The following is a 20,971-nucleotide window of genomic DNA, read 5'->3' as shown; positions in this document are numbered from 1 at the left end:
CATGCAGTTTCTTCCTAGTCTCGATGGTCTTTACATTTTGGCATGATTTTGCAGCGGCTGGTATCTGTTGTTCCTTTCCATGTTTAGCGCTTTCAGGAGCTCTTTTAGGGCAGGCCTGGTGGTGACAAAATCTCTCAGCATTTGCTTGTCTGTAAAGTATTTTATTTCTCCTTCACTTATGAAGCTTAGTTTGGCTGGATATGAAATTCTGGGTTGAAAATTCTTTTCTTTAAGAATGTTGAATATTGGCCCCCACTATCTTCTGGCTTGTAGAGTTTCTGCCGAGAGATCTGCTGTTAGTCTGATGGGCTTCCCTTTGTGGGTAACCCGACCTTTCTCTCTGGCTGCCCTTAACATTTTTTCCTTCATTTCAACTTTGGTGAATCTGACAATTATGTGTCTTGGAGTTGCTCTTCTCGAGGAGTATCTTTGTGGCATTCTCTGTATTTCCTGAATCTGAATGTTGGCCTTGCTACATTGGGGAAGTTCTCCTGGATAATAGCCTGCAGAGTGTTTTCCAACTTGGTTCCATTCTCCCCGTCACTTTCAGGTACACCAATCAGACGTAGATTTGGTCTTTTCACATAGTCCCATATTTCTTGGAGGCTTTGCTCGTTTCTTTTTATTCTTTTTTCTCTAAACTTCCCTTCTCGCTTCATTTCATTCACTTCATCTTCCATCACTGATACCCTTTCTTCCAGTTGATCGCATCGGCTCCTGAGGCTTCTGCATTCTTCATGTAGTTCTCGAGCCTTGGTTTTCAGCTCCATCAGCTCCTTTAAGCACTCCTCTGTATTGGTTATTCTAGTCATACATTCTTCTAAACTTTTTTCAAAGTTTTCAACTTCTTTGCCTTTGGTTTGAATTTCCTCCCGTAGCTCAGAGTAATTTGATCGTCTGAAGCCTTCTTCTCTCAGCTCGTCAAAGTCATTCTCTGTCCAGCTTTGTTCCGTTGCTGGTGAGGAACTGCGTTCCTTTGGAGGAGGAGAGGCGCTCTGCTTTTCAGAGTTTCCAGTTTTTCTGCTCTGTTTTTTCCCCATCTTTGTGGTTTTATCTACTTTTGGTCTTTGATGATGGTGATGTACAGATGGGTTTTTGGTGTGGATGTCCTTTCTGTTTGTTAGTTTTCCTTCTAACAGACAGGACCCTCAGCTGCAGGTCTGTTGGAGTACCCGGCCATGTGAGGTGTCAGTCTACCCCTGCTGGGGGGTGCCTCCCAGTTAGGCTGCTCAAGGGTCAGAGGTCAGGGACCCACTTGAGGAGGCAGTCTGCCCGTTCTCAGATCTCCAGCTGCATGCTGGGAGAACCACTGCTCTCTTCAAAGCTGTCAGACAGGGACATTTAACTCTGCAGAGGTTACTGCTGTCTTTTTGTTTGTCTGTGCCCTGCCCCCAGAGGTGGAGCCTACAGAGGCAGGCAGGCCTCCTTGAGCTGTGGTGGGCTCCACCCAGTTCGAGCTTCCCGGCTGCTTTGTTTACCTCAGCAAGCCTGGGCAATGGCGGGCGCCCCTCCCCAGCCTCGCTGCCGCCTTGCAGTTTGATCTCAGACTGCTGTGCTAGCAATCCAGCGAGACTCCATGGGCGTAGGCCCCTCCGAGCCAGGTGCGGGATATAATCTCCTGGTGCGCCGTTTTTTAAGCCCGTCGGAAAAGCGCAGTATTCGGGTGGGAGTGACCCGATTTTCCAGGTGCCATCTGTCATCCCTTTCTTTGACTAGGAAAGGGAACTCCCTGACCCCTTGTGCTTCCCAAGTGAGGCAACGCCTCGCCCTGCTTCGGCTCGCACACCGTGCGTGCACCCACTGACCTGTGCCCACTGTCTGGCACTCCCTAGTGAGATGAACCCGGTACCTCAGATGGAGATGCAGAAATCACCCGTCTTCTGCGTCGCTCGCGCTGGGAGCTGTAGACCAGAGCTGTTCCTATTCGGCCATCTTGGCTCCTACCACTTTTTTTAAAAGATGTATTTATTTATTGGGAGGGGGTCTTCCTCTGTTGCCCACGCTGGAGTGCAGCAGTGTGATCATAGCTCACTGCAGCCTCGAATTCCAGGGCTCAGGCAATCCTCCTGCCTCAGCCTCCTAAGTAGCTGAGACTACCGGCGCATGCCACCATACCCAGATAATATTTTTTTCTTTTTAATTTTTTTTTATTATGCTTTAAGTTCTGGGATATATGTGCAGAACGTGCAGGTTTGTTACATAGGTATACATGTGCCATGGTGGTTTGCTGCACCCATCAACCTGTCATCTACATTACGTATTCCTCCTAATGCTATCCCTCCCCTTGCCCCCCACCCCCTGACAGACCGCAGTGTGTAATGTTCCCCTCCCTGTGTCCATATATTCTCACTGTTCAACTCCCACTTATGAGTGAGAACATGCAGTGTTTGGTTTTCTGTTCCTGTGTTACTTTGCTGAGAATGATGGTTTCCAGCTTCATCCATGTCCCTACAAAAGAAATGAACTCATTCTTTTTTATGGCTGCATAGCATTCCATGGTGAATATGTGCCACATTTTCTTTATCCAGTCTGTCATTGATGGGCATTTGAGTTGGTTCCAAGTCTTTGCTATTGTGAATGGTGCTGCAATAAACATACGTGTACATGTATATTTATAGCAGAATGTTTTATAATCCTTTGGTATACCCAGCTAATTTTTTAGTTTTTAGTTTTGTAGAGACAGAGTCTTACTATGTTGCCCAGACTGGTCTTGAACTCCTGGCCTCAAGCGATCCTCTTGCCTCTGTTTCCCAAAGTACTGGGATTACAGGTGTAAGCCACCACACCTGACCTGAATTAGTGCTTAATAAGCAAATTTAGTTACCTATCTACAATTTTTAAAAAGCTGATTTTTAAATAAATGTATCAGAAATTATATCTTCAAAATAGTCTCCTCAGGAGATTATTAGTTATTCCAATAGCATTGCCTTGAAATGTTTTCAGAATTTCCTTTCTGAAACTGTCCTCAGAGCCATATAAAAGAGACTCATATTTTTAACCTCTGAATATCTGAAAATATTATGATTTATTATAAAGACTGAAGTATATAAAACACATACGTGTATATATATATATATATATATATGGACTTCTTTCGTAAAGAGTAAAGAATAAATATAAAATGAACCTCCATGAAACCACTACCTAAGTCAAGATATAGAACTGAGCCAGCACCTTAGAAGACTGCCCGGACACATGCTATGCTCCACCACATCCCCACACTAAAAGAACAGTTTCCTGACTTCAGTTATAATTACTTTTTGCTTTTCTTTATAGTTTTATCTCTAATGTATGCAACCCTAAAAAGTACAGTTCAGCTTTACATTTTTTAATTTTTGTACAAATGGAATCTATCATACGTATTCTCTATCATTTGTTTTGCTTAACATTAGACTTACAAGCTTCATCCATGTTGTTATGAAAGCTACAACAGGTTCATTTTCATTGCTGTATAACATTCCAATACAGTAACATACTACAATTAATTTATCTATTTTACTATGGCTGGATATTTGGACTGTTCCCAGTTTGGGGCTATTATAAAAAAACATATTGCTATGAGTATTCTTGTACATGTCTCTAGGTATATATATATATATGTGTGTGTGTGTGTGTGTGTATATATATGTGTGTGGGTATATATATATATATATGTAAACAATTCTCAAAAGCATATATCTGGAAGTGGAACTGTTGGCTTTGAAGATATGCTTAACTCATCTTCAAAATGGTTGTACCAGTTAAACTTTCCCCTGAAGGGTATGAGTGCTTCTGTTGCTCTAATCCTTACTAATACTTGGTATCATCAGACTCCATAACTTTTGCCAATCTGATGAATGTGTAAACATATCTTGTAGTGATAATAATTTGTATTTCCCTATAATTATCAAGTTGTGTATTTCTTCATGTTTACTGGCCATTTTGAGTTCTTCTTTTATAAAGTACATGTTTAAGCAATTTGTCCATTTTTGTGTTTTTACTGGGTTTCTCTCTTTTTCTTCTTGAATGGTAGCCCTTATAAATTCTGGTTACTCCTTGTTGGCTATATGTTAAGTTAAAAATGAAGTAGAGCCTTCTACTTCTGTGCATGATGGGATAAGTAGGATTGCACTTAACCTCTTGCTTTCTTGCTATAATAAAGAAACCTAGAAAAGTGAACAAAATATATGAAGTAACCTGTACTCAGACTTTGGACAATGAGAACAGTAAGACTGTGATTGCCAAGATATGAGAAAAAAACAAAACAAAACAAATACACAAGGTGAGCCCCACCATCACCCCAGCAATTTTGCAATCATGGGCACTGAGAGGAAAACACTTTGTTTTAGAGCCCAGCAGCCTTGCTAAATTGAGGAGACAGAAATTTGAGATCAGAGAGGCTGAGATAGCTGGCAGTTGTGGGCACATTTCAAGAGAGAAGTGAGCCAACCAGAAAAAAGGGGGCTCCAAAAAATCTGTACAGGAGGCCCACTGAGTCTTTGCAGAGTACTAGGACAAGTAATGTATACAGGGAAACTTGACAAGGATAGGCAAAAAATGGAGATTTGTAAACTGAACAATTACTGGAGTTTATACGTAGCAGGAAGATGTTCAAACTCTGATCAGCCAAAGCGGAGACTCTTTGATGATCCCTTGGGTTATTCAGTGGAGATATCAGAGGGCCACACCTTAGAAGTAGGGATGAACTATATCTGGAATAAAGACTACACCAGAACCACTCTAGAGAAGCCTAAAATCAGACTTCAAAGGACTCAAATTGAGCAACATTAACTTTACCGCCTGCCAAACAATATCCAATAGTCTTTAAAGACAGGCAACAAATACCAGATACTCATCAACGTGCATTCACAAAGTCCACTATCAAATCAAAACTCACTAAACATGCCAAGAAGCAAGAAAAATGCGATCCATAGCCAGAAGAAAAGAACCAGATCTTGAAACTATAAAGATGACAAAATTAGCTGAAAAAGACATTAAAACAGCTAATATAAGTATGTATAAGTATTTAAAGGAAAACATTAACAAAATGAGCAAAGAAATTGAAGATATGACAAAAGATCAGGTTAGAGTATCTGCGGATAAAAGTCAATCTCCTTGTAATCCCAGCACTTTGGGAGGCCGAGGCAGGCAGATCACCTGAGGTCAGGAGTTCAAGACCACCCTGACCAATGTGGTGAAACCCCGTCTCTACTAAAAATACAAAAATTAGCTGGGCATGGTGGCCCATGCCTGTAATCTCAGCTGCTCGAGAGACTGAGGCAGGAGAATCACTTGAACCTGGGAGGCAGTTGCAGTGAGCCAAGATCACACCACTGCACACCAGCCTGGGCACCAGAGTGAGACTCTGTCTCAAAAGAGAAAAAAAAAAAATCAATCTCTAAAATACAAATTACACCAGATTAGATTAACAGCAGATTAAACAGTATAGAAGAAGAGACCATTTAAATTGAAGAAACAACAAGGAAAAGTATCCAAAATGCAGCACAGAGAGAAGACGACTGAAGATGTATAATTGCAGTTCCAGAAGACAAGGAAAAAAGTTTTTTTTAATATTTGAAGAAATTATACCAAAAATCTTCCAAAGTTGGCGAAAATTATAAACTCACAGTAACTACAAGTTTAATGGATCCCAAGTAGGATAAGCCCCGAAATCCTACACCAAGACATATCATAATCAAATCACTAAAAATCAGTAATAAAGAGATCTTAAAATCAGTCTGGACGCTTTGGGAGGCCAAGGCGGGCAGTTCACGAGGACAGGAGTTCGAGACCAGCCTGGCCAATATGGTGAAACCCCGTCTCTACTGAAAATACAAAAAATTAGCCGGGCATGGTGGCGGGTGCCTGCAGTCCCAGCTATTCGGGAGGCTGAGGCAGGAGAATGGCGTGAAGCCGGGAGGCGGAGCTTGCAGTGAGCCGAGATCGCGCCACTGCACTCCAGCCTGGGTGAGAAAGCGAGACTCCATCTAAACAAACAAACAAACAAACAAAAATTAGCCGGGCATGGTGGCACGCACCTGTGGTCCCAGCTACTAGGGAGGCTGAGGCAGAAGAATCACTTGGGCCCAGGAGGCGGAGGTTGCAGTGAGCCGATATCGCGCCACTGTACTCCAGCCTGGGCGACAGAGCGAAATTCCCTTTCAAAAAAAAAAAAACAAAAAAAACCAGTCTGGAAAAATCAGACACATATGTTCAAAGCAGCAAAGATAAGAATACACTCAGACTTCTCATCAGACATAAGGCAAGCCAGAAAGCAACAGCACAACAGTTTTAAAGAGCTTAGTATGCAGCCTAAGCAGTGTTTACAGGGAATTTGTAGCTTTAAATGCTTATATTACCAAAAAAAGGGGGCCTACAGTAAGTTATCTAAGCTTTCACGTTAATAACCTAGAGAAAGAAAATTAAACTCGAAGTGGATACAAGAAGAAGAATATAAAAATAGAAGGAATTCGTTAACTATAAAACAGAGAAACAATACAGAAAATCATTGAAGCCGAAATCTGGCTCTCTAGAAAGAATAAGTCAATAAAAGTGATAAACCTTTGATCAGTTTGATCAAGAAAAATGAAAAAGTATCAATGACGAATATCAGGTTTAAAAAAGAGACATCACTCCAAAAGCCTACAAATTTTGAAAGGATAAAAAGGGAATATTTTGAACAACTTTATGTCAATAAATTAGCAACTTAAGTGAAATATACAAACACCTTAAAAGACACACATTATCAAAATGGATCTTAAAAGTAATAAATAACATAATATCTATTAAATAAATTTGATTCATAATGAAAATCTTTCTCATAAAAAATTTCAGACCCCTATAACTTAATTAGTTAACCCTATCAAATATCTAAGGAAGAAATGATACTAACTCCTTCAGAAAACAGAAGAGAGAATGCTTCCCAGCTCTTTTTTTTTTAAGACGGAGTCTCACTCTGTTGCCCAGGCTGGAGTGCAGTGGCGTGATCTCGGCTCACTGCAAGCTCTGCCTCCTGGGTTCACACCCTTCTCCTGCCTCAGCCTCCCGAGCAGCTGGGACTACAGATGCGTGCCACCACATCCGGCTTTTTGTATTTTTAGTAGAGACAGGGTTTCACCGTGTTAGCCAGGATGGTCTCGATCTCCTGACCTCATGATCCACCCGCCTCGGCCTCCCAAAGTGCTGGGATTACAGGTGTGAGCGACCGCACCCGGCCCCCAGCTCATTTTATGAGGCAGAATCACTACATACCAAAACCAACAAAGACATTACAAGTAAAGAAAACTATAGGCCCAGTATCCCTCATGAACACAGATACAAAAATCCTAAACAAAATATTAGTAAGGTGAATCCAGTAATATATAAAAAAGACTATACATCAAACCCAGCTTAAACATTTCAAAATAAATCAATGTAACCCACCATATTAATAAATAAGGTGAATATTCATATTAACAGAATAAAATATATATTCAAATATAAAACAGTAAAAAATATATATTCATCACAGTAGAATAAAGCATTTAACAAAATTCTTTATATGAAAATTCTTTATGTAAAGCATATGACAAAATTTGTAAAATCTTTCAACACAAGGGAAAAGAAGGGAACCTCCTCAATCGAATAAAGAACATTTACAAGAAATCTACAGCTACCATCACACTGAATGGTACAAGACCATTTTTACTCCAAGACTGGAAACAAAGCAAATATGCTCATTATCACCACTTCTAATTAACACTGTACTAAAGTACCAGACAGCATAATAAAATAGGAAAAAGAATAAAAATGCATACAGATTAGAAAAGAAGTAAATCCATTTTTACTTGCAAAAACATGATCATATGCATAGAAAATCCTAAGGAATCTTTAAAAAAATGTTTACACTAGCATCAAAAAGGTAAAATACTTCAAATGCTTTTATACTGTACCCTGCATTTTTTGGTGTGTTCAGTGGGAGGGTTACATCAAATATAGCCATGCTTTCATTAACAATGAGGATATATTCTGAGAAACATATCATTAGGCTATTTCATTCTTGTGCAAACATCACAATGTGTATTTACACAGACCTGGGCAGTATAGCATATTACACACTTAGGCTAGATGATATAAACTACTGCTCTGATCAACATCATATGTGTGGTCTGGCGTTGATCGAAACATTGTGGGATATATAACTGTCCCTAGAAAATTGCTATAAATGAAAACTGACATTATTTTTTAATCTCATCTTGCTTTTTACCATCAATAAAGTTACCTAGCTTTCACCTACCTTATCACCAAACCTATTTCCATGAACTTTTCAGTTTAAAAAGAAAATCATTCTCTAAGGATGAATACACAATTGAGAATAAAAAATTGAAGACATTTGAAATAATGTGCCAAAGTCAATTCTCCAAGAGTTCCAAAAAGTTTTAAGAATGAAAGTTTCTTAAATTTCATTTTTAAAAGACAGTTTTTAAATATTTTTTAGAAATTTTTAATTTTAAAGAAAGTTTTTACAAGACAAGGATGCCTGCTCTCAGCACTTCTATTCAACACAGTATTGGCAGTACTGTCCAGAACAATCAGGCAAGAGAAAGAAATAAAGGGCATCCAAATAGGAAGAGAGGAAGTCAAACTATCGCTGTTTGCAGATAACATGATTCTATATCTAGAAAACCCTATAGTATTGGCCCAAGAGCTCCTTCAGCAGATAAACAACTTCAGCAAAGTTTCAGGATACAAAATCAACATACAAAAATCGTTAGCATTCCAATACAACAACTATCAAGCCAAGAGCCAAATCAGGAAGGCAACCCCATTCACAACTGCCACAAAAAGAATAAAACACCTAGGAATACAGCTAATCAGGGAGGTGAAAGACCTCTACAATGAGAATTACAAAATACTGCTCAAAGAAATCAGAGAAGACACAAACAAATGAAAAGACATCCCATGCTCCCGGATAGGAAGAATCAATATCATGAAAATGGCCATACTACCCAAAGCAATTTACAGATTTAATGTTATCCCTATCAAATTACCAAAGACATTCTTCACAGAACTAGGAAAAAACTATTTTAAAATTCATATGGAACCAAAAAAGAGCCTGAATAGCCAAGGCAATCCTAAGCAAAAAGAACAAAGCTGGAGGAATTACACTACCTGACTTCAAACGATACTATAGCACTACAATAACCAAAACAGCATGATGTCAGTACAAAAACAGACACATAGATGAATGGAATAGAATAGGAAGCCCAGAAACAAGGCTGCACGCCTATGACTATCAGATCTTCAACAAAGCTGATAAAAACAAGCAATGGGGAAAAGCCTCCTTATTCAATAAATGGTGCTGGGATTACTGGCTAGTCATATGCAGAAAAATCGAAGCTGGACCCTTTCCTTACACCATATAAAAAATCAACTCAAGATAGATCAAAGATTTAAATGTAAAATCCAAAACTATAAAAACCCTAGAAAAAAACCTAGGACATACCATCCTGGATATAGGAATGGGCAAAGATTTCATAACAAAGATGCCAAAAGCAATGGCAACAAAAGCAAAAATTGATAAGTGGGATCTAATTAAACTAAAGAGCTTCTGCACAGTAAAATAAACTATCAACAGAGTAAACAGACATCCTACAAAATGGGAGACAATATTTGCAAACTATGCATCTGACAAAGTTCTAATATCCAGCATCTATAAGGAACTTAAATTTACAGGACAAAAACAAACCCCATTAAAATGTAGGTAAAGAACATGAACAGACACTTTTCAATAGAAGACATAAATGCAGCCAGCAAGCATATGAAAAAAAGCTCAACATCACTGATCATTAGAGAAATGCTACTCAAAACCACAATGAGATACCACTTCACACTAGTCAGAATGCTATTATTCAAACGTCAAAAAATAAGAGATGCTGGCAAGGTTACAGAGACAAAGGAATGCTTATACACTGTTGATGGGAGTGAAAATTAGTTCATTGTGGAAAGCAGTATGGCGATTCCTCAACGAGCTAAAAGCAGAACTACCATTCAACCCAGCAATCCCATTACTGGGTATATACCCAAAGGACTATAAATCATTCTACTATAAAGACACATGTATGTGAATGTTGACTGTAGCACTATTCACAATAGCAAAGACATGGAATCAATGTAAATGCCCATCAATGACAAACTGGGTAAAGAAAATGTAGTACATATAAACCATGGAATACTATGCAGCCATAAAAAAGAATGAGATCATGTCTTTTGCAGGAATACGAATGGAGCTGGAGGCTATTACCCCTATGCAGGAACAGAAAACCAAATACTGCATGTTCTCACTTATAAGTGGGAGCTAAATGATGAGAACTCATGAACACAAAGAAAGGAACAGCAGGCTGGGCATGGTGGCTCATGCCTGTAATCTCAGCACTTTGGGAGGCCAAGGTGGGTGCATCACTTGAGGTAAGGAGTTCAAGAACAGCCTGGTCAACATGGTGAAACTCCGTCTCTACTAAAAAAAAAAAAAAAAAAAAAAAAAAATTAGCCAGGGTGGTGGTATGTGCCTATAGTTCCAGTTACTTGGGAAGCTGAGGCAGGAGAATCACTTGAACCTGGGAGGCAGAGGTTGCAGTGAGCCGAGATCACACCACTGCACTCCAGCTTGGGTGACAGAGCAAGACTCCACTGCAAAAAAAAAAAAGAAAAAGAAAAGAAAAAAAGAAGAAGGGAACAACAGACACTGGGGTATACTTGAGGGTGGAGGGTGGGAGGAGAGAGAGGAGCAGAAAAAATCACTACTGGGTACTAGGCTTAATACTTGGGTAAGGAAATAATCTATACAACAAACCCCCATGACATAAGTTTGTGTATATAACAAACCTGCACATGTATCCCCAAACCTAAAACAAAAGTTTTTAAAAGAAAGTTTTAAAATTTTCAGTTTTACTTAAATGAGTCCATAATCCCTCAAGGGATTATTTTGAAGGGGCACTGTTTTTAAAAAGTTAATTTACAGTAAAATTAACTTTGGTATACAGCTGTATGAATTTTAACACATGTATGTATGGAGTCACGTAACCGCCACCATCATCCTTTGCAGTCATACCCTCCCGTAACCCCAACCAACTCTTGGCAACCACTGATCTGTTGTCATTAATTCTGTCTTTCCCAGAATGTCATATAATGGAATCATACAGTACACAATCTTTTAGGAGGGGCTTCCTCCACTCAGCACAATGGTGCTGAGATTTAACCAAGTTGTTGTATGTTATCAATAATTCCTTCTTTTTTACTGCTGTGTAGTATCCCACTATATGGGTGCGTCACAGATAATCTATCCAAACAGTCTGCGTGGGTTGTTTTCCAGCTTTTGGCAATCATAAACAGAGCTGCTAAAAATATTCGTGGACAAACTTTTGTGTGAACATCCTTTCATTTCTCTAAGAATAAGACTGCTTGGCCATATGTTAGGTATATTTAAATTTATGAGAAACTGCTAAACTATTTTCCAGACTGGCTATATCACCTTGCATTGCCACTAACAACTATGAGAGTTACAATTGTTCTGCATTCTCACCAGCACTTGGGATTGTCAGTCTAATAGATGTATAGGGGCATCTCATCATGGTCTTAATTTGCATATCCTTAACGGCTAATGAAGTTGAGCATCTTTTCACATGCTTATTTGCCACCTGTATATCTTCTCTGGTGAAGTGTCTGTTCAAGTCTTTTGTCCATTTTTTAATTGAGCTGTTTGTTTTCTTACTGTTAAGTTTTGAGAGTTCTTTATATTATATATTCTAGATACAAGTCTTTTGTCAGATATGTGATTTGCAGATATTTTCTCCTGGTCTGTACCTTACCTTCCCATCTCTTAAAAGTCTGTTTCATAGAGCAGAAGTTTTAAATTTTAAAAAAGTCCAATTTATCAATTTGTTCTTTTATGGATTGTGCTTTTGGTGTCACGTCTAAAAACTACTGTCTTGGGGTCACAATTCCTCTGTTCAGAGAGTTCTCCCTCAGTGTTTCTGGTGACTGTGCTGCCAGGAAATCCCTTTGTGGCTCCTTGAGCTTTAACTAGATAGCTTCTCATAGAGCACTCGTCTGCACTGATGCTTATTTCCAGGGCTCAAGTCAAGGCTGGGGGCAAATCAGAGAGAAAAAAGGTAAATCAGCTACTGATTTGGTGGTTTTTGAATTCCGGTCTTTTTCTTCTTCAGTCCACCTGCTTTTCTGAATAGGTAAATTCTGATTTATCTGGTAAATAATCAGTACCCCCCCACACACACGCAGAATCACACACAGCTAAAAATAAACATGTAGGTAGTTAGATTAAAATGTAAATAAAAACATTACTTTAGGATGCTTTTCCTGATATCACAGTAATTATATTCAATTGGAAGAAGGCAAAGGGTTGAGGAAAAGAGTTGAACTATACTAAAAATTTCTAGAATCTCAATAAGTAACAGGTATAACAAAAAGTGCAGCTAAGATTGACAAAAAAAATCAGTGTATTTTTATATAAAAAATTTTTACTAGAATTTTAAAACCATAAAATGATAACATATTAATTTTAAAGATCTAGCAATACAGAAGTGAATACAGGGTTAACAATCCGGACTCTTTCCTCTTCAATACTGTACCACCAGAGATAACCATTATTAACAATTGGGTGCATCTTCCCTCATTATGTATATATATTTTAACATATATAATATTGTGCTATATACATACATACATCCACATTTTTAATCATTTTCTTCTTATACTTATTGAACAAAGAATAGTATCACATTATATACATTATTCTTCAACTTGCTTTTCTCATGTAACAATATATCATGTACAGTCCTGCAGTTCAGTAATATTTCACTATTGTTCCATTGTATATAGATCTAGTATAATTCATTCAACACTCCCCTTTGGTTAGAGACACAGGTTGATTTCAGCCTTTCATATCTATACACAATCAACACCCTGGGCATTCTAATTCTATAGGATTGATTCCTCAAAGTAGGACTGTTGAGTCAAAAAACGTGCATTTTAAACATAAATAGATTCTGACCAAATACTCTCCCCAATTCACAGTCCCAATAGCAAAGTATATACGTGTTCTTTCTCCCTACAAACCTTCCCAGAACTGAATATTATCAATCTTTTTACAACCTTGACACTTTGATGGCTAAAAATGGCATCCTATCTTTCACCTGTACTCCCCTAGTTGCTAATGAGTCTGAGTGTTTTGTTTGTTGTTGTTGTTGTTGTTAGGTATACTGGCTCTCCATATTTTCTCTTTTGTGGATTGCCTTTTCATAGTCTACTTGTTTTTCTAATGAATTGCACATATCTGTTTCTCTTTGTAGGTTAGAAAGATTAAGCCTTTTTTGTTTTGTTTTTGAGATGGGGTATTACTCCGTCACCCAGGCTGGAGTGCAGTGGCACCATCAAATCTCACTACAGCCCTATCTGCTGGGCTCAAGTGATTCTACCACCTGACCCACCGTAGTAGGTAGGACTATAAGCAAGCACTACCACACCCTGCTGATTTTTTTATTCTTCTGTAGATAGGTCTCGTTATGTTGCCCAGACTGGTCTCGTTATGTTGCCCAGACTGGTCTTAAACTCCTGACCTCAAGTTATCCTTCCGTCTTGGCCTCCCAAAGCACTAGGGTTACAGGCATGAGCCACCACACCCCACCCTGACCCTTTGTTTATACACAGATTTTTCATCACAGAAAACTGACTCATTCTAGATACAAATTTGTTGCTTCTTATACTATTTTAAGGCATTAAGGACATCAGCTTTATTTTTCATGTATAAAGTTGAGGAGGTTTACATGTTTTAATGTGAAGAATATCCACAATTGAGAATATTTGTTTAGTCGGCAATTAATTACTGTGTATTTATGATGTACAATTACGCTAAGGGCATATAAGACATGGGTGTCTATCCTCCAGGAATTTAAGTCTAATAAGGGAGATATGTCAGAGACAGAGTGAAATAATAATAGCAGGCAATATGTGATTATATATGATTAAATGGCAACTTTAAGAAACTAGAAAACAGAAGATATCTTCCGTTCATGTCATCATTGTTTACCCGCATGCAGATCAAAGTAAAACCTAAAAATGACTATATTCAAAGCTTGTGTTTGAAGTCAATCATCTACAAAGTGAGGAAAGTACACTCAAAGCCATATATGCAGTGACCCACTAGGTAATGTGAGAAAATGTTAAAGCTTCTATTATAATAATTTTTTATCTTTTTACTTAAAAAGGAAAAATAAAATTTACAAATTTGAGTTTTTAAAGCTTTACCAAATTTATTTTTTCTTTTTAGCACACCTCTGCTGGCAGGAAAGCTTTACTAATTTTTAACGATGGCAGTCTCATTTATTGATATGCCAAGCAGGTCACTCCTTATACTCTGTTTACAAGGTAACCTAAGGGCAGAGAAAGCTTCCACAAACAGAGAGTTGACAGTAGGACCTTCAGCATTTTACAATATATATTAGATTATTTTCAAATTATATTGTTAAATTTTAACTAAATTACCTCTCCCAAAATGAGCAAGTAGCTTAAGCTGATTTCTACAAAGAAGCCATGAATTGAGGTAATAATAATAATAATAATAAGCACAAGCAAATAAGAAAATAGCAGATCAGGAACTCTTTATCAGACACATGAAGTATAAACAAAGATGATCTAATCCAATCTGACAAGTCAGTACCCCCTTGGAAAAAATTCAAAATTGTCAAGAGGCTAAATTGAGGCAGATTTATAACCACCATCTTTAATTCAAATCTTGCCATGAACATATACTGAGCTATTAGTTAATGAATATAATTTAGAAATACATGTCAAATCCTACAATAACATGACCCACGACAATATGAAATTGGCCGCCAGCTCCTATCCCCATGTTCAAACAGAAGAGAGCTGAAATTTTTATTTTCTGTGAAGTTTTCTGTGAAGCAAGGTCAGGAAAAGGAGGGCAAGGACACAACAGAGAAGAAGACAGGTAACCTTGAGTCTCAAAAGATAGGGAAGAAGACACATTGAGTCCCTGCTTCCACAGTATTCTCTCAGCCTAATCTCTCCTGATTGCACTGATGACACGGGCCAAATAACCAAATTCCTGGTACTGCCACATTGACTGTATGATAGTGGTGAATCATCTACTCTATTTTTGGCTCATTTCTACGTTGGTAAAGTGAAAGGGACATATCAATACACCCATAAAGCTCCTTCTAAGTCTCATGTTGCATGGTCCTAAGGTGAGCTATTACAATAGTCACTATTGACTTGTGAACTGGTAAAGAATTTACTGTATGAACAAACACACTACATGGATAAAGAAGCTTAACTGCTACATGGCTGCCTACAATGTTAAGGTAACAGAACAGACTAAGCAAATTCTCATGATGCCAGCCAACTCCCAAGAGTTTTCATCAATTATTCATTCAGGGAAATATAAAGAACACCTATACAAATCACAGAAGTAGGTAATCAGGGATAAAAGATGAATAAGACACAGTTCCTTCCATAATACATTCATTCTAGACATTTACTGAATGCCTACTACGTGCTGGGCACTATTGTAGACACAGCAACATGGCAATGAACAACAGACAAGGTCCTTGGTTTTCAAGGAACTTATATTCTAGTTAGGGATATACTCCCTTCCCCATTTTCAGAGCAGAGTAAAATACAGACTACTCCTCAGACCTTGACCTAAAGAATGGGTGGACTCCAAGTGGCAGCAAACAATCAAACAAGATCGTATCATGACTGGACCACCTGACTAGCAATGAAAATGCACTGCATCAGGAGCCCTGACACCTGGGCTCTGCTAACTTGCCATGAACCTTTGGAAAGTAAGTTATTATTTTTGCGTCTTGAATTCATGGGAAAAGTTAAAGGGCTAGACTAGATAAATGGTTCTCAAACCTTCCAAATGTCATGGACCTTTTTGAAAATGTTACCAAAATTAAGGCCTCTCTACTTAAGAGAAATGCACAACTGCACATGTAAACTAACTTTTCAAGATGTTCACTAATTTCAAGATGTTCACTAACGCCCTGAAGCTTATCCTATATGCCAGTTTAAGAATCTCTCAACTAGGTAATTCACTGAAAAGCCTTCCAGCTCCAAGTATTCTATGATTCTATTCCATTTTACTTCCTCTCGTCTTCCTAGGATTCCAGTCTACAACCACCTCAAGATACTAGAATAAAATGGTTTTTTTGTTGTTTTTGTTTTAATTAAGATACAAAGGGAAAAAAAATTTAAAGAGGGAAAAAAGAGAGATACCAAGAAAGAAATATGTAGCTAGCTCACTGTCCTCCACAGAAGAGTGAAAAGCAGAACAAGATATTATGAAAATTATCTAACAGACATATGAATACATGTGTGGTAATTTTTACAACATAGCCTCAAAATTATTTGCTACTTCTCCATCAAGAGGTAAAGGTCTATGTCCCTTCCTCTTGACTCTGAGCTTTGTGACTACCTCACAAATAATATATTTCAGAAGTGATGCTGTGCCAGTTTGCAGGCTCAGGCCCTAGAAACTGGCAGCTTCTTCTTCCTGGCTCTTTCATTAGATGGTCACTAATGGAACTCAGCCACTATACTGTGCAGAGGCCCAGGTCACGTGTAGGTGTCTCTACTGAAAGTTAACTGCCAGATGTAAGTGAAGACACTCATAGATACTGGCCCCAGCTCTCAATTCATCTCCAGCTTATGAGTCTTTGCAGCTGAGGCTCTAGACATGGTGGAACAGAAACAAACCAACCCTGCTGCAGTCTCTCCAAGTCCCTGACACACAGAGTCCATGAGCATGACAAAGCCATGTTTTATACCACTATGTTTTGAGGTGGTTTCTTACACAATAAATAACTAGGGCATCTTTAAGCTCTGAGGGATCATGTAATACTTCTCACACAGAGATGTCATGAATGAGATTATTTTTCTAAATTGTATATAAGAATTGTTAAAGTTACAGTGGGCATTAATTTAAGCCAAAATCAAGATTTAGAAAACCACACTTAAACTCCAATGACAGGCATTATCCTGCCAGATTATCGAATAAAAAGAGAGTGAGAGAGAAGGAGCGAGTGAGAGAGAAATATGTGACACTCATTAAAAGTTCTCATGTCATTAAAGTTCTCATTAACAGAAGTACCAGAGTTTAGTTTCCAAGTTCATTCATTGACAAGTATTTACAGAGTACTCACCAGTGCTAGGCATTGTTCCAGATGCCAGGCACACAGCAGTGAACATAACAGACAAAAATCACTGTCCCTATAGTACTAACATTCAGTGGAGGAGAAAGAAACAATAAACAAGACCAATAAGTACGTTAAATGGTGTTAAATGCTGAGGAGAAATCTAAAGCAAGGAAGGAGGCCAGGGAGTGTTGCTGGTAGTGCTGATGATGGAAAAGGCTTGCAATTTTAAATACGGGGGTCACAGAATGCCACACAGAGGTGACATTTGTGTCAAGACTTTAAAGAGGTGGGGGAATAAGCCAAGTGGGCACACAAGGAAAGAGCATTCCAGAAGTAAGTATGAAAGACTCTGAGGCTGGTGTGGCTGGGGATGACCGGGCAAGCAAGACAGTAAAAGATGAGGTCAGGCTGGGAGCGGTGGCTCACGCCTGTAATGCCAGCATTTTGGGAGGCCGAGGCGGGCGGATCACAAGGTCAGGAGATCGAGACCATCCTGGCCAACATGGTGAAACCCCATCTTACTATACAAAAAATTAGCAGGGTGTGGTGGTCCGCACCTATAGTTCCAGCTACTCGGCAGGCTGAGGCAGGGGAATCATATGAACCCGGGAGGCGGAGATTGCAGTGAGCCGAGATCGCGCCACTGCACTCCAGCCTGGCAACAGAGCAAGACTCTGTCTGAAAAAAGAAAAAAAAGATGAGGTCAGAAAGGAAACTGCAGACCTGATTGTATAGGCAAATCCTGGCAAAAATCCAACAGCACCGATCTTGGAATCAAAAGAACCAAATTCAATGAGAGCAGTAATGTTTTTGTCTGTTTTGTTCACTAATTTATCACAGCACCTAAAACGGTGCCTGGCAGACATTCAAAACACATTTGCTGAATGAACGACTGAAGTCTTGGCTCTATCACTTAGCAGCTATTTGACTTGTAGCAAGTGATTCCAGTTTTCTGAGCCTCTGTTCTCATTTCTAAAATCAGAATAATCATTTCTCCCCACCTCAGAGGATTATAGTGAGGATCAAAAATGGGGAAGTATTTTGCAAACTGCAAAGCAGTATATATAGGTGAGGTCTTCACATTACTGAAAAAGTGAACAAGAGCAATTATTATTAACAACGACAATGATCTCTCTACCTTTCCCTACTAAATTCAACCACCAAATCATTCTCTCCCTCTCTATAGGCCATGGAACTGGGACAAGGCTAATCTTCCCTTCAGCATGAGAGAGTGAACTTTAAGCACTTGAAGCCTTCTGTAAATGAGTGGCAGTAATTAAGACATAATAGTTACTCCTACCAACTTTTCTTTGAGCCTCTCTGAGAAAAAGAATGAGGCGCTGTTTCCATGTGAAGATTCAACACCCTTTGGTAAAATCCAGTCTGCCTGAGAACTATTTTTTTTCTGTTAAAATTCAAGAATAACCAATAAGAACACCTTGACATTTCCCCAGACATCTTGTCCCTCACTTAAACCTACACAAGATCGTGCTGAAAGAAGGGAAAGGGAAAGCATGAGGAACACTCTCGGGACTGGAAAAACGTTTTTAGAGATCAGGTAATCCAATCATCCCAAACTGAGAATCTACCGCCTAACTGATTCCAGCTGAAGACAGCTTTAGTGTTCGTTCTCATCTGTATATGGGGATAATATCTTCTTAAGGATGCTTCAATTCTGGAATAAAATAATGCATATGAAAGCATCTGACATGGGTTATGCACTCACTAAAACTGGCTGAACCTGGAAATTCTGCATTTATTCAATAAATATTAAGTGAACGTCTACAATATACTAGTCAGTACTCTAGGCACTAGGAAAGGGCCATAAGCAAAAAGCACAAAAATCTTGTTTTCTTGGAGACAACATCTACCTCCTGTAACTTCTCCGACTGGCCCGCCTGGCTTCTTTGGACCTCCGTCTGGCTTTTATATAACACCTCCTCCACGGAATATTGTCCTTTGAGATTCTGCAGATCGCTGTGGTGTACCTCCCCTCTCCACGCCCCTTTCCTCCATCCTAAACAAGCAGCCTTAATTATTTCAAGGAGTAAGCAAGGATGCGGAAACAGGAGCGAAAACTGGACTGGGTGGGGTGAAGGCGGGTGCTAAGACGCCAGGGCTGAAAAAGAAATCAACAGAACCGCTCCGACTCCGGGCCAACGTCAAGACGGGCGGGTCCGAATCAGGTGTGTCACCTGACACCTCTCCCGGGAAGGGCCATCGTCCCCTCCCCAGGCCCACAGAGGTCCCCGCCGGGCTCCGGGTACCGGCCCCAGGGGGCGCCCTGGCCAGGGATGGAGGCTGGAGGGGCCGGCTCGGGCCCTCACCCCTCAGTCCTCGCCTTTTCTTCCCAGTCGCCTCAGAGACAATTTCCAGCATCGTTCGTGGTGTTTCCAGGCTCCCGCTTCCCAGACCTAGGCCCCGCCGCTCCCGAAACCCCCTCATCGAGCGGCCTCTCACCCACACCATCCTTTCCTCCACAGCTGCAGCCGCTCTCCCGGCCCCCAGGACAGCCACCGCCCGGCCGCACTCACCTGCGAGCCCAGCCCCGGCCCCTCCATCTCCCCAGGAGCCCACAGCGGCTGAGGCTACTAGGCAAGTAGCGACTGCCGCCAGCCCGCCAGCCCGCCTTGGGTCGCCTCTTCTCCCACTTCCTGCTGGCGCCCTCACCTCCGCCGCTGCGGTCCCCGCTCGTGCCCTGAGCCGTCAATCGGTCCCGGAGAACCAATCCCAGCCCTCCATCGGCTAGGGGCGGGACTTTCTCACCTCCTGGGAAGCCCGCTGTGAACAGCTCGCCAGAGGCTCCACCCCCGGCCCGCCCGTGCCGGTCGCTCCCCCAGCCCCAGCCCAGGACCGAGCGCCCCTCCCTGCCCCAGGTGCCACGGGCCCCAGATGTGCGTCCAGGGTCAGGATCAGACTGTTATTCCAACGTCAACCACCATCTATTGAGAGCAAATCTGGACTTGGCTACTTAATTGCTAAATGACCTTGTGAAAGTCTCTTATTTTACCTCAATTTTCTCATCTGTGAAATGAGGAAAATAAGGGTACCTACTTCATGGAATTATCAGGAGGATTAAATGAGAAAACGCATGTAAAGCCCCTCAGCCCGTGCGTTACATATAAAAAGGAATCAATAGATGTTAGCTATTTAAATGTTTTCCACTCCATTTGCGTGATCTTGGGCAAGTCACCTCTACCGCCTGAGGTTCTGTTTCCTCAAATGAAACAAAAAATGAGTTCTACGGCGCAGGCTAGAGGGGGAGTGGGCGAGAGCCTCCCACTTGAAGTGCACCTCCCCCCTGACCTCCACGACCCTTTGTGGAGGGCACTGGAGGAGCTGGCATTTAAGCCCTGTCCAGCTTGAAGGTCTATGAAGCAAGCATTAGGGATGGCTCCTTCCCTTGGGGCGTTCCAGTGGGGCAGTGGGGCTCTCCTACTTCAGCCCCGAGTAAACACTGGGGTTTTTCTAGCCCAGCACTTAACACAGTTCTTTGTAATGGTTCCTTAGATGTGTCTGTTGCCAAGTGGAACCAGATTAAGACCTTTAGAAGCTAATTTGAAAACGATCTGAAAACATTATGACTTCCTTATTTTATAAAAATAATACTAAATCATAAAATAAATAAATAGAAATCCAACAAAGTGCTGGGTTTTCCATGGAAAATATTGCTATGATACAATAAAATCGTAGATGTATTACTATTGCTTTAGTGTCTGTGTCCTTTGGGCACGTCAGCCCTGGCTTGCCCCCAAAAGCCCAAACCCTTTGAGGAT

General features: G+C 40.3%; 1 protein-coding gene across 8 annotated transcripts in view, besides 3 other annotated features; it reads right to left on the bottom strand.

Moving 5' to 3' along the window:
• ZDHHC13 (zDHHC palmitoyltransferase 13) overlaps positions 1–19,902 on the bottom strand; it is a 59,312-nt gene extending 39,410 nt beyond the window's left edge. For 6 of the 8 annotated variants that reach the window (NM_019028.3, XM_047427141.1, XM_005252996.3 and 3 more), the window contains exon 1: positions 19,730–19,838. In NM_019028.3, the coding sequence (NP_061901.2) occupies positions 19,730–19,756 (27 nt within the window). In that variant the 5' untranslated portion in view covers positions 19,757–19,838. Of the gene's footprint in view, positions 1–11,825; positions 12,098–19,729; positions 19,839–19,865 lie in introns of those variants that run through there. The other 2 variants (XM_011520195.2, XM_047427139.1) reach the window with 2 other exon arrangements.
• Positions 19,419–19,648: a silencer, noted in NCBI's record as "silent region_3197". NCBI's record gives its function as "represses an Ori minimal core promoter by ATAC-STARR-seq in GM12878 lymphoblastoid cells {active_cell/tissue: GM12878}" and the evidence as "EXISTENCE:reporter gene assay evidence [ECO:0000049][PMID:35858748]".
• Positions 19,739–19,818: a silencer, noted in NCBI's record as "silent region_3196". NCBI's record gives its function as "represses an Ori minimal core promoter by ATAC-STARR-seq in GM12878 lymphoblastoid cells {active_cell/tissue: GM12878}" and the evidence as "EXISTENCE:reporter gene assay evidence [ECO:0000049][PMID:35858748]".
• Positions 19,869–20,108: a silencer, noted in NCBI's record as "silent region_3195". NCBI's record gives its function as "represses an Ori minimal core promoter by ATAC-STARR-seq in GM12878 lymphoblastoid cells {active_cell/tissue: GM12878}" and the evidence as "EXISTENCE:reporter gene assay evidence [ECO:0000049][PMID:35858748]".

The sequence above is a fragment of the Homo sapiens genome, chromosome 11, assembly GCF_000001405.40.
Source record: "Homo sapiens chromosome 11, GRCh38.p14 Primary Assembly".
NCBI classification, from domain to species: domain Eukaryota; kingdom Metazoa; phylum Chordata; class Mammalia; order Primates; family Hominidae; genus Homo; species Homo sapiens.
This window is presented reverse-complemented; position numbering and strand designations above follow the sequence as displayed.